This window comes from Homo sapiens, chromosome 11 (genome assembly GCF_000001405.40).
Source record: "Homo sapiens chromosome 11, GRCh38.p14 Primary Assembly".
Classification (NCBI taxonomy): Eukaryota; Metazoa; Chordata; class Mammalia; order Primates; family Hominidae; genus Homo; species Homo sapiens.
In genome coordinates this window covers 18,106,095-18,119,695 of record NC_000011.10, presented here as the reverse complement: position 1 = coordinate 18,119,695, position 13,601 = coordinate 18,106,095, and the positions used below count along the sequence as shown (strand labels likewise).

The 13,601-nt window shown below is 43.0% G+C and overlaps 2 pseudogenes across 1 annotated transcript, besides 1 other annotated feature; one reads left to right on the top strand and one right to left on the bottom strand.

Moving 5' to 3' along the window:
- The first annotated feature begins 3,563 nt into the window (after positions 1 to 3,563).
- SAA3P (serum amyloid A3, pseudogene) lies at positions 3,564 to 7,224 on the top strand (annotated as a pseudogene). The gene is made up of 3 exons (NR_026576.2): positions 3,564 to 3,710; positions 6,409 to 6,619; positions 6,941 to 7,224. The product of NR_026576.2 is annotated as a serum amyloid A3, pseudogene (transcript).
- Positions 7,225 to 12,654: 5,430 nt separating this feature from the next.
- Positions 12,655 to 13,098, bottom strand: HIGD1AP5 (HIG1 hypoxia inducible domain family member 1A pseudogene 5; annotated as a pseudogene).
- Positions 13,409 to 13,458: an enhancer, noted in NCBI's record as "active region_4491". NCBI's record gives its function as "activates an Ori minimal core promoter by ATAC-STARR-seq in GM12878 lymphoblastoid cells {active_cell/tissue: GM12878}" and the evidence as "EXISTENCE:reporter gene assay evidence [ECO:0000049][PMID:35858748]".

Genomic DNA, 13,601 nt, shown 5'->3' with positions numbered 1-13,601 from the left:
AGTGCAAAGTAAAAGCACATTTATTAAGAAAGTAAAGTGACAAAAGGACAGCTACTCCATAGACAGAGTAGAACGTTCCTGAAAGTCAGAAAAGGAACGTGTCCACCCTAGGCACAATTGCTTGTATACATGGGGAGATGTGTTCTGCTACAAGGGTTTGTGATAACAGATTTCTTCTTTTCTTTTTCTTTTTCTTTTCTTTCTTTCTTTCTTTTTTTTTTTTTTTTGAGACAAAGTCTTGCTTTGTTGCCTAGGCTGTAGTGAAGTGGCACAATCTCAGCTCGCTGCAACCTCTGCCCACCAAGTTCAAGCGATTCTCCTGCCTCAGCCTCCCAAGTAGCTGGGATTACAGGTGCCCACCACCACGCACAGCTAATTTTTGTATTTTTAGTAAAGACAGGGTTTTGCCATGTTGGGCAGGTTGGTCTTGAATTCCTGACCTCAGGTGATCCACCGCCTTGGCCTCCCGAAGTGCTGGGATTACAGGCGTGAGCCCCCGCACCCAGCCCTGTTTTCTTAATTACTATATTTTGCAAGAATCAATATTATTATCTTTTTTTTTTTTTTTGAGATGGAGTCTCACTCTGTCACCCACGCTGGAGTGCAGTGGCACAATCACGGCTCACTGCAACCTCCACCTCCTGGATTCAAGCAATTCTCCTGCTTCAGCCTCCCAAGTAGCTCGGACTACAAGCGCGTGCCACCACACTCAGCTAATTTTGCTTTTTGTATTTTTAGTAGAGATGGGGTTTCACCATTTTGCCCAGGCTGCTCTCGAACTCCTGACCTCGTGATCCACCCACCTGGGCCTTCAAAATTGCTGGGATTACAGGCGTGAGCCACCGCGCCCGGCCAATGTTATTATCTTCAAAGAAAAATTAGGAATGTCTTTGTTCTCCAAATATTGGGATATTTGCACACTCCCAAGTCTGGGTCTGTTTAGTAAACATTACGAATTTGTTCCCTTAACTGTAAACATCTAGAGGTTAGGAATGCCTAACTTTCTGAGCACGCAGCCTAGCAATCTCAGCCTCATTTTCCTAGCCCTCATGCCAAATAGAGTCGCTCTGGTTCAAACGTCTCTGACACTATGTGAAAATAAACCTTGGTCCTTATAACTGTAGTTCTAATTGGTAATCTTACTTACTAATGTCTTAATAATAGGTTGCCTTGGTAACAATATTGTAATTAATATTTCTGTCTCCTGGAAAATATAAATTATTATGCGTTTTCTTGGTTAAGGTGGAAGCTCTAAAATTAATTAAATGCTTTACACGTGCCCAGAATTAACCCAAGTCCCTGTCAGCATTAATCATTTAATCCTCACAACAACCCTACAAGGGAGTTGTATTTTTCTGCATCCTTCCTATATCTACTATTCTGGTAACTAGGATTCATTAAATGTGAATTTTTTGAGGGTAGTGATTTTGTATCATTATTTTCTTCATTTTATATTTAGGGAATATAAAGTTCTTCCCGCTGGTCTTCTAAGACTGGGGCTTAGGTCTGAGATGTCATTCTTAGTCATGATACCTGTGGACTTTTGGGCTTTTCTGATTTTTGTTTTTCTAATTCCTAATAGAATTAAGCCTTAGTATTCTCCTCTTCTACTTAAATTAATTGTAACTTAAAAGAATGGAGGTGTCTTGGGCCTCTCAATCAGCCTGGTCACACAAGGTTATCAGAGTAGTGCTACCATCTGATTTACTGTTCAATCCAGGCCATTGTAGACAATGAAAAGATGTGCCACTATTAAGCTTGGACAATAGACACTGATCTCATGCAAACCAGCACACGTAGTCACTTGTAAGAGACTGTTGGAAAATCCCTTTAAGGCCTGGGGACTCTGATATCATGACAGGAAATCTTTCTTTTTCAGGAGAAACAAGTGAAAAGAACTGACTGCCGTTATTGTCTATTATTCTCAGCTTGGCACCATAAGAAACTGCGTGTACCTTCCCGGAAGGCAGAATACATTAAGTAACAAAGGAAGAAAACAGGCAAGGCTTGTCAAAGTCCCTGTGAGGAGTTCCTCTTGGTATCTAGAAATCATACTCGCTTTCTTGCTCTTTTTCCTGTGAGTCAGTGTGTCACTTTGTCACCCAGGCTAGAGTGCAGTGGTGTGATTATGGCTCACCATAGCCTCCAACTCCTGGGCTCAAGCAGTCCTCCTGCCTCAGCCTCCTGAGTAGCTGGGACCACAGGTGCATACTACCACACCCCGCTAATTTAAAAAATATATATACAGATATATAGTGGAGATGGGGTCTTGCTATGTTTCCCAGGTTGGTCTTGAGTTCCTGGCCTCGAGTGATCCTTCTGCCTCAGCCTCCCAAAGTGCTGGTATTATAAGCATGAGCCAGTGTCTCCACGCCACTTGCTTTCTAATACTTCTGTATTAGTCCGTTCTCATACTGCCATAAAGAAATGACTGAAACTGGGTACTTTATAAAGAAAAGAGGTTATATTGGTTCATGGTTCTTTAGTCTGTACAGGAAGCATAGTGGCTTCTGCTTCTGGGGAAGCCTCAGGAAACTTTCAATATGGCAAAGGCAGAGCGGGAGTGAGGCATCTCATATGGTGGGAGCAAGGACAAAAGAGAGTGAGGGGGGAGGTACTGCACACTTTTAAATAACCAGATCTCAAAAGAATTCACTCACTATCACGACGACAGTACCAAGGGGGATGCTGTTAAACCTTTCATGAGAAACAGCCTTCCTGATTCAATCACCGCCCTCTAGGCTCCACTCCCAACATTGGGAATTACAATTGAACATGAAATTTGGGTGGGGACACAGATCCAAACCATATCAACTTCTATCAAAGAAGAGAATGACTTGAATAAAACGAGAAAGTAGATTTCCAGCATTGAATGGTTCCAAAGGGAGTAAAATAATTGTGACAGGATGTGATCATTGGCCCTCAATTTCTGCCTGAAGAAGAGTAGGAAAAAGGAGGTCTGGACATCACATGCCCTGCTTTATGAAGCAGCTCCTCCAAGTACACCATGACCAGTGGCTGTGGATGGTTGACAACTCCCCTCCTCTTCCCCCTCTTCTACTGTCTACTCCTGGGACCAAGTGAGCCACGCCAGCTCAGATACTACACTGACCACAGGGAATCCCACCTTTTCCAAGGAATGGAAGTTGTGTAGGGAATATTCAAATGTTGCTTAGCATTGCCTTAGATAAGAACCAAAGGGACAGGGAAATCCTCTGACAGCTATCTGCCTTATAACTTTCATTTTACTGTGCCTAAAATATGCTCAGAACCCAGAAAGAGGCATAATTCCTAATTTTGGCAGGCTCTAATCTAAAATAATGATTCTCAAACATGGTGTGACTTTTGTCTATTTGCTTTATCCTGGGTCACTGCTCCTCTTCTGTCAGATACTGGGATTCCAATGAGACAAATGGAAATGGAGACGTAGACCCTCTGACCTTCTATCTTTTATCTATACACATACACCTGTGTGTGTGTGTGTGTGTGTGTGTGTGCGTGTGTAAAACCGAGTGGGTTTTTTTCTTGGAATGAAAGAATGGACTAACATTACAAAAAATAAAAACTTGAAACAGAATGTGTATTATCCTTGGTTGTGTTTCCTTGGCCCTGCAGCAGGATGAAGCTCTCCACTGGCATCATTTTCTGCTCCCTGGTCCTGGGTGTCAGCAGCCAAGGATGGTTAACATTCCTCAAGGCAGCTGGCCAAGGTGAGGTCCACAGGATAGGGGGCAGGAGGCTGCTTCTGGCTGCCCCCAGGATGCAGCTGAGCAGAGGCCACATCCCCACTGGGCAAAGGTGCTAGTGATGCCACAGATGGATAGAGAAGGGGCATGGTTTTTCATAAGCGTGGTTCCTCATGCTTTTCTGGACAGCTTTGACACTCTTCTATGAGGATCCTCCAGCCGAGGTCGCATAAGGTGTGAGCTGCCTCTTTTCAGCAGGACCATGAGAGAGATGTGGAGTTGAGGGGTGCATGTTCCCATAATACCGGTGGGGCTCTACTGCCCCCTAGTGGGAAATCTGGGACAGTTCATGTCTATGTCTCCTGGGAAGCCAGGAAGCAGGTGGATCAAAAGTGTGAGGCGAGTCCATGGGGAAGCTGAACGGAGCCAACCGTCCCCATAAAAACAACCAAGCTTAGCTGAGATTTTAATACGTACTAGGCACTGTTTAAATGTACTAATGAATTGGTTTCCATCATTTAGTCCTATGATGCAAGCAGCATTATCCCTTAACAGAGAAGCTAACACACACACACACACACACACACTAACACACACACACACACACACACACACACAAACCCCAAGATACGTAAAGAAGTTCCAAAGCAGAGCAGGATTAACCCAGGCAGTCTTGCTCTGCAGAACTTGCTCTTAATCAAGGTACTCTGCTGCTTTCAAAACAAGAGTTTCGGATTTGTGAACACATAGCTCATCCTTTATCTAAGAAATGGCAAATAGGATGTGGTGCCTTTGGAAGGTAAGTCTAGCTCCACTTATCCCAGTAAAACCTACAGTGAATTACCTTGATGGTGGTTCTACTGGGGCTTATATATGGCCAGGAAACTGCTAGCAAGAGAAATATACCCCGAGGGCTGGGCACAGTGGCTCACACCTGTAATCCCAGCACTTTGGGAGGCTGAGGTGGGCAGATCACCTGAGGTCAAGAGTTCGAGACCAGCCTGGCCAACATGGCGAAATCCTGTCTCTACTAAAAATACAGAAATTAGCCGGGTGTGGTGGCATGCGCCTATAATCCCAGCCTCTCGGGAGGCTGAGGGAGAAGAATTGCTTGAACTCAGGAGGCAGAGGTTGCAGTGAGCTGTGATCACACCACTGCACTCCAGCCTAGGAGACAGAGCAAGACTCCATCTAGAGAGACAGAGAGAGAGAGAGAGGGAGAAATATACCCCACTAGCCATAATAAAGTGGCAAAATTTTGTTTTCAGAATGCAGTATTTTAAATTTCAGGTATTATTATTTTTCTGAGTCTCTGAAAAATGGTTTTAAGGATTTGCTTTTAATCCTATTTACATGTTCACACACTCAACTACAAATATCTTTCATTCCTTAGGTTAATATTTTTCAAAGGGTTGTTCTGGGACCACTTGCGTGAGAATCACCTGGATTCTGGGATGCTTTGTGAAATGAAATGAAGATTCCCGGGTCCATACCCTACCCCCTGCCCCCAGCAGCCACAGTCTCTTGGGACAGAGCCTAGAAATCTTGCCTTTGCTAAGCACCTCGGTAGATTTTTATGCACAGCAAAGGTTGAGAACCACTACCTCTTGTTTTGCTGCTGAAAGTGATAAAATGTGCCAGGAATTTTGGAAGTACTTATTAAGCCAATCTGAACATCAAGGAGCCATTTAAGTCAGTAACTCAGAGGAATAAGTAGAGTAAAAATGTCATAAACTCTCAATAAAAGCAATCAATTTAACACCAGGAGTAATAAATGCATAAAATGAAGATGAGTTATCTAATAGAGAAATTATATAAACCATGATTATAACTCTATATTTGAGTTCCCCCTTTTCCGTAATCAGTTAATTTTCTAAAAAATCTTCGTCACTTAATTCTAGCTTGATCAGATCCCTTCAGTCCGTAACTCCCTGCTCCTCATCTTAGTTTAGCCCTTCTTTTTTCTTATGCCACCTTTCCTAAGGACCAGAGAAGTGAAATGATAATATATTGGCCACCTACAATGTTCTAGACATCATACATGTATTTTCTCTGCTCTTCTGCATAATCACTGTGAGGCAGGCAATACTCCTCCATTTCATTGGGGAGGACATTGAGGTTCTGAACTAGTGGGTCAGTTGTCCTTTTTCTGAATTTGATTACCCAGTAGTATAAAGCTTTCTTAGGTAACTCACCTTTATCACTTGCTGACTGAATTCTGACAGATGTCAGTTTCTAATTATAGCCTGGACATTCAGATGTATTCAGGACCAAGTTGTCCTCACTCTACCTACAGGCATGAATTTCTCTCATTGACTAGGTTAGGAGCGCCATATGTCTGCAGCCTCCCTCAGAATCCCCTGTGTTCTCACACCAGGGAACTGAGGGTTCCCTGGGTCCTTCCAGGTAGAAGTTCATTGTACAATGAAACATCCCTTAAGGACCATTTCATCTCTTCTTTAGGTGCATCACACATGGTTAAAACAAAGTAATAACAGAACTTAGAATGGAATCAAACAGAATGAAACTTACACCAAGTACAATTCTCATTACATTAACCCAGAGAAGTGAAAAGTAGAAGAATATTTATTTCAAGCCAATATAATTTCCAAGGGCTTTGTTGAAGGCTGAAATCTTCGGGAGGAAAGTAGTGAGAAGAAAACTGTTCATTCCTCTATTTTCCCAGTATATAATTGTTTTGATCATTTTCTTTCCTTTCCAGGGACTAAAGACATGTGGAAAGCCTACTCTGACATGAAAGAAGCCAATTACAAAAAATTCAGACAAATACTTCCATGCTTGGGGGAACTATGATGCTGTACAAAGGGGGCTTGGGGCTGTCTGGGCTACAGAAGTGATCAGGTAATGCACATTCCTGATGTTGCCAGGAATGAGTGAGCAGAGCTTGACTGCCTTGGACAGTCAGGAGAGAGGTAAGCTCCTTGCAGAGAAGTTAGAGGCTGCAGCCCCTCCTCCTCTTGCCCTCTCTCTGCCTGTGTGCTTAGTGCGAGGGTCTGAGTGGATGGTAGAAGTGAGTGATTCCTCACCCTCCCTCTCTGGGTGCTGTTCATCCAGCCTAGGGGTGCCCAGCCTGGCTGAGTGGGGCAGTGCCCAGGCAGGGTCATTGTTTTCACCCCTCCTTCCTTGGCCTTCCTGGGCTTCTCCCAGAGTCCTCCCTTGGAAAGCAGAGAATGGGAAGGTGGGCTGTTGCTCACTGGCCTGGTGATTAATCTCCTTGCTTGCCTGGACTACAGCGATGCCAGAGAGAACGTCCAGAGACTCACAGGAGACCATGCAGAGGATTCGCTGGCTGGCCAGGCTACCAACAAATGGGGCCAGAGTGGCAAAGACCCCAATCACTTCCGACCTGCTGGCCTGCCAGAGAAATACTGAGCTTCCTTTTCAATCTGCTCTCAGGAGACCTGGCTGTGAGCCCCTGAGGGCAGGGACATTTGTTGACCTACAGTTACTGAATTCTATATCCCTAGTACTTGATATAGAACACATAAAAATGCTTAATAAATGCTTGTGAAATCCAGTTTGTTATTGGAATCTGGAAGCAGAATATGACAGTCTTCCTGGGATCATGGGCCTGTTTAGTACCATAGGGATGACCAATAAACATCACTGTTTTATTTTTTAAAACATAAAGCACTAATGCACAATAGTGGGAATTGGGGAGAAAACTATATCTATACATGGACCACATTGTATGGACCATAATATGGACCAACTATAAGCCTATAATTATATGGTTCATAAAATAGAAAAGATAATAAGATAATCCTATGAACAACTTCAGTAATGAAGCCTAAAACTAAATTAAAAATCAACAAATCATAGAAAAATACAATTTACAAATACCGACTAAAGAAGAAATGAGAATCTAGATTAGCCTGTAATTATTTTAAGAGATTAAATCTTCTTACAAAGAAAACAGCAGGCCCAGATGGTTTTGTAGACAAATAATATGCCTTCAAAAAGGCAAATAAGGGCCAGACATGGTGACTGATGCCTGTAATCCTAACACTTTGGGAGGTTGATGCGGGAGGATTGCTTGAAGCCAGGAGTTTGAGACCAGCCTGGGCAACATAGCAAGCCCCCATCTCTATAAAACAAAAAACAAACAAACAAACAAAAAACAGCCAGGTGTGGTTATGTGCACCTATCATCCCAGCTGCTTGGGAAGCTGAAGCCAGAGGATAGCTTGAGCCCAGGAACTCAAGGTTGCAGTGAGCTATGATCACACCACTGCACTCCAGCCCAGGTAACAGAGCAACACCCTGTCTCTAAAAAGAAAGAAAAGAAGAAATGGAAAAATGAAGAAAGGAAGAAGAGAGTTAGAAAGAAGGAAAGAAATAAATAAAGATGCAAAAAAAAAAAAAAGCAAAAGTACTTGGAGTTACAATGAATTGGCCCCAGCAGTGACCATCTCCAAGTTCACTGTGTAGCCTGAGGTTATTCCTTTCATAATCCCAGAAAATCCTGGATTCTTGGAGAGGGGTGTTCTCAGACACTCCACATAGTTTATTTCCCAAGTTGGATCCTCTCTCCTGGGTCTTGCTGGCCCAAGTATCTCTGGTTACAGTGGACTGTTTCTAGGCCCCTCTATGTCCAGGCCTCCTTTCTGTCCAGTCAGCTATGTCCTTTCCTTTTTTCTTCCCCCCAGGAATCTGGATTCCTCAGTGTTCTCTTTCCCTGCCACGAAGGCATAATCCCAGGAATCTTTCCCCACTTCATTTCCCAAACCCAGTGTCAACCAGTCCCTGTCCATGGTACTAAGAAATACCTTTCAAAGCTATTTCTCTTATCTTTTTGACTACTCCTTGGTTCGTGCCAGGGTAAAATGTCATCTTCTCAATGAATCAGATCTGTCAGCTCCTAAATCCTTACCCTGGGGTAATAATGAATGCCTCTATAGCACTTTGTTCATGCCTTCTTGAGAATCCAGTTCCATCCTTGTCAGAGTCAGTGGTTAATATGGCAGTACTCCTGCTGGTTGATTTTCAAGCTCATCTAAACGAGTCAATGGCAGTGAAAGAATGTGTGATCATGATAAAGGTGGTAGAATGACAGTTACTATTCATGGTGCGGTGACCAAGGGCCAGGCACTGGTCTAAGTGATTTCTTCTGTTATCCACTGGATCCTCACACTTTAATTATCCTTATTTTAGAGCTCAGGAAACGTGAGGCACAGACAATTTAGATAACATACACAAGTTGCACTGCTAGTTTGATGCTAGAGTCAACATTCTGAACCATTTGCTGTAACTAGCAATTGCATTGGAGTTTAGAACTTATAAAACACGCTTGCACATATGAGTTCATGTAATCACTGCTCCTATGAATGTATTCCATGAGCTACCCTAGTTAGTAATCTATGAATCTCATATCAAATCTGTGTGTGTGAGGAGCAATAAGGAGCTGAGAAAAAACCAGCAAGATGGAGGAGGTTGCATCGCTATTCAAGGGAGCTGTGGAGAGGCGTCTCCAGCGATGGAGGTGGTATATGTGAAGAATCCACAACACACATACACAGAATCAGCTTCAAACACCTGCTGGGCCCAAAGAACATGAAACCATCTTATGAAAACACCAGTCAAGTAAGAATTTTCCTTTCCCTCCCCTCTCACTTCCAATCCTTCCCCCCTAATCGGGGAGAGGTCAGAAAGAGCAGCTGTCTATCTGTGGGAGGAGGAAGCAGGGAAGGAAACAAAGTCATCACCCCCCTCCAGACTGAAGTACCCATCTATAGTGGGCTTAACTAGGAAAGGGGAGAGAAATTTTCATTTTAAATGAATTGGAAGCTTCAAATCATGACTTGGACCTGGACTTTCTAGTTACCATTTTGAGATAAACTAAATGCCATCAAACCTGTGGCTTTAAATTACTACCTGTATAACACTGTTTGTTTTGTTTTGTTTTGTTATTTGAGACAGAGTCTTGCTCTGTTGCCCAGGTTGGAGTGCAGTGGCATGATCACCACTCACTGCAGTCTCAACTTCTTGGGCTCAAGCTACCCTCCCACCTCAACCTCCTGAGTAGCTGGGACTACAGGTGCTCCCCACCACACCTGGCTAATTTTAAAAAGAACATTTGTAGAGACAGGGTCTTACTATGTTGCCCAGGTTGGTCTTGAACTCCTGGGCTCAAGTGATCCTCCCACCTTAGCCTCCCAAAATGCTGAGATTACAGGCATGAGAACACCGTACCTGGCCTGTACAGTACTTTCAATAACCTTTGAGTAACTAGGGAAGGCATGAATTGACTTGTGTTCAGGATCAAAGTGAGAGATATTGGGACAAAAAAAAAGAAAGGAAAAAAAACCTGCTTTCTGGTTATAAAATGTAATTCTGTTTGATTAGCACACTGATGACATTGGAGAGTGTGTAATAACTAAGGATTATGATTAATCCAATTCTGTGCACCTGAGATCCAAAGAGAAAAGAAAAAAAACAAAACTCATGGAGCCTAGCTGTGAGTATCAGACTCAAATAAAAGTTGAGAAGACATTGGGAGGTTATCTCAGTAATGCCAACAACTTACAAATGAATTTTAGACTGGCCTCTTTCTTTTTTTTTTTTTTTTTTGAGACAGGATCTCACTCTGTCACCCAGGCTGGAGTGCACCGGTGCGATTTCAGCTCACTGCAACATCCACCTCCCAGGCTCAAGCCATCTTCCCAGCTGGGAATACAGGTGTGCGCAACCATGCCTGGCTAATTTTCATATTTTTTGTAGAGACCAGGTTTCTCCATGTTTTCCAGGCTGGTCTTGAACTCCTGACCTCAAGTGATCAGCCCACCTCAGCCTCCCAAAGTGCTAGGATTATAGGCATGAGCCATCGCGCCCAGTCCTGGCCTCTTCTTTTTAAAACTCATTTTTATTTTATTAAGAATAAAACAAATAATATACCATGAGTATATGTCAAAATTTAACATAAATTATATATCATAAACCAGCAAGTATTGAATTGTGGACTCACATCAATATGATGGTTGGTAAACATAACCTATATGTGTGTATATGATAAAAGAAATGAGTTGGGAGGCCGAGGCGGTGGATCACGAGGTCAGGAGATCGAGACCATCCTGGCCAGCATGGTGAAACCCCGTCTCTACTAAAAATACAAAGAATATTAGCCAGGCGTGGTGGTGGGCACTTGTAGTCCCAGCTACTCGGGAGGCTGAGGCAGGAGAATGGTGTGAACCCGGGAGGCGGAGCTTGCGGTGAGCCGAGATCGTGCCACTGCACTCCAGCCTGGGCGACAGAGCGAGACTCCATCTCAAAAGATAAATAAATACATTAATTAATTAAAATAAAATAAATAAAAGAAATGAGCTGGGTATGGTTGCTCATGCCTGTAATCTTAACACTTTTGGAGGCTGAGGTGGGAGGATCACTTGAGATCAGGAGTTGGAGACCAGCCTGAGCAACACAGGGAGACCTTCTGTCTCCAAAAAGGTAACTCTCTGCAAGCCTGACTGCTGAAACTGCCTCTTGTAAACGGAGACCAGTTTTATCTAACAACTGCTGAAACAACCTACTGTGACTCTAAGACTAATTTTACCTGCTGCCATCTCTCACCAATCCTAGCTTGCAAGCTCCCCCAAACCTTACTAAAACCAATAAAATTTCTTTCAAAACAACGTGTAACATTTCTCCTTTTTATAAAAGCCCCAACCTTCTCTTTGTACTTCAGATATATTGAAGACGCCCACCTGTCTCATCTGTGTGTATGCCCTGAATTGTAATTCTTACTTTCTAAATCAATTGCTTTAAATTTAGAGATTCATCTCTATGTTTTGTTTGACTTTGACGTAAGTATCACAGTAATTCTAGGCAAACATTGGACACCTTCATTATGTTTTCTAATATAGTTATGACTGAGTATTTAAAATATTCATGTGGACATTTTATTTTAAATAATTTCGGCCGGGCGCGGTGGCCCGCGCCTGTAATCCCAGCACTTTGGTAGGCCGAGGCGGGCGGATCACGAGGTCAGGAGATCGAGACCATCCTGGCTAACACGGTGAAACCCCGTCCCTACTAAAAATACAAAAAAAAAATTAGCCGGGCGAGGTGGCGGGAGCCTGTAGTCCCAGCTACTCTGAAGGCTGAGGCAGGAGAATGACGGGAACCCCAAGGGGCGGAGCCTGCAGTGAGCCGAGATCGCGCCACTGCACTCCAGCCTGGGCGACAGCGAGACTCCGTCTCAAAATAAATAAAATAAATAAATAAATAAATAATTTCATGTCTCCATTCCTGTTTGGTCATTATATTGATATTTTTGAAATTTCATGTGGAAGTAGCTTATATCATCTATAAATTTAATTCCATTAAATCAAAGTGGGTACTTGTAAATCAATTCCATCATAGGTAATTTTTTTAGTTTAATGTTTACGATTCTTATGGAGAAAGAAGTGTTTTTCATTTACCTTTGCATGGGTGCTTAAAATACACATTTCTATTTCAAGATGACACTGAAAAATTCTTCTAATATAACAGCAGCAAAAATGTAATTCTGCAATTACAAAAGTGCTAAACTGAAATCCATAATTAAGGTTTTCTCATGTTTACAATTGTGGTTCTTTAATCAATACTAATACTATGCAGGTCTGTTGTAAGGTTTCTAGATTCGGTTTAAACACACGCACACAATACTGTCAGTTGTAGGAGGCTTTACAAGTTATATTTCATGCACTTTTTTTTAAAGAGTTCTAAAAGAGCCAACCAGTCCACAAGACAGACAGAAAAAAAGTTAAATTAACTGGAGTAAATTGGACTCTTAACATTCGAAACATGCAAGATTCTGCAGCAAACTGGGAGTACTTCAGGATTGGCCTGCTATCTTCCTTAGTATTAATTTCATCTTAACAGTTTAAGAAGTTGGACATTTTAACACCATCAAGCGCATTTAGGTGACGTGTTTCTTGTGTGTTAACTTGGCTCCCCGGAATGATCTAGTTAGTGAACTAGTCACTAATAATTTGGTCACCAGGCAAATCAAGCCTACACGAAAGGAAGCGACTATTCAAAATACCGTAGTATCATCTGAACCTACCCAAATAATTTATGTTCAACATAAACATGTAACTTCAATAATGAGATGACTCATTAATGAGTCAAGCTCCTCCAACAAGACAAAGACAACATCTCTTCTTCTAAGGTTTAAGTTTTGCATAGAAATCCGGATACATGGAATAGCCCATACCAACAGTCATTGCTCCTACAACAAAGCTGGACTGCCACACGCATGTGGATCAGGTGACGTGATATTTTAGTATTTCCCCTGCTTTTCAATTTGTATAATCCGTATGCAGCAACTACTGCAAAACCTGCCATTCCAATGGGGACAAATGGTGCCTCTTTAGTTTTTCGAATCACTTTGGATCCCTGGAATCCCTCACAAGCCATCCAGCTTCCCCTACGGATATTTTTAGGAATGGCAACAGTGGCCAGAGATCAGAGGATTATATTATTAGGGTTATACAACTTTTATATAAAAAAAGTGGCTTCTGACCAGGCGCGGTGGCTCACGTTTGTAATCCCAACACTTTGGGAGGCCGAGGCAGAAGGATTGCTTGAGCCAGAAGTTCGAGACCAGCCTGGGCAACATAGATCAGAAGGCGAATAGAATAAGTCCGCTAGCTTTGAGATTCACATCTGTTCCTGAGGCTTCCTCACTGCTCCCCACCCTTCCTTCTTCAATCAGTCTAAGAGCTCCTGGAGAAATGGAACACCTGATTCAGTGAGGGTGACAAATAATTATGAGTATGTTCGTGCCAGGGTCCTCGATAGGATGGGGTGGGGGAGGTCAAGCCGCCTTGGCAGCTGGCCAGGCTCCGAACAGCAGATGGCGCTGTAGGGGGAGTCCCACCGGGTACGCCGGGCGCTCTGGCACTAGGGCGCCGGT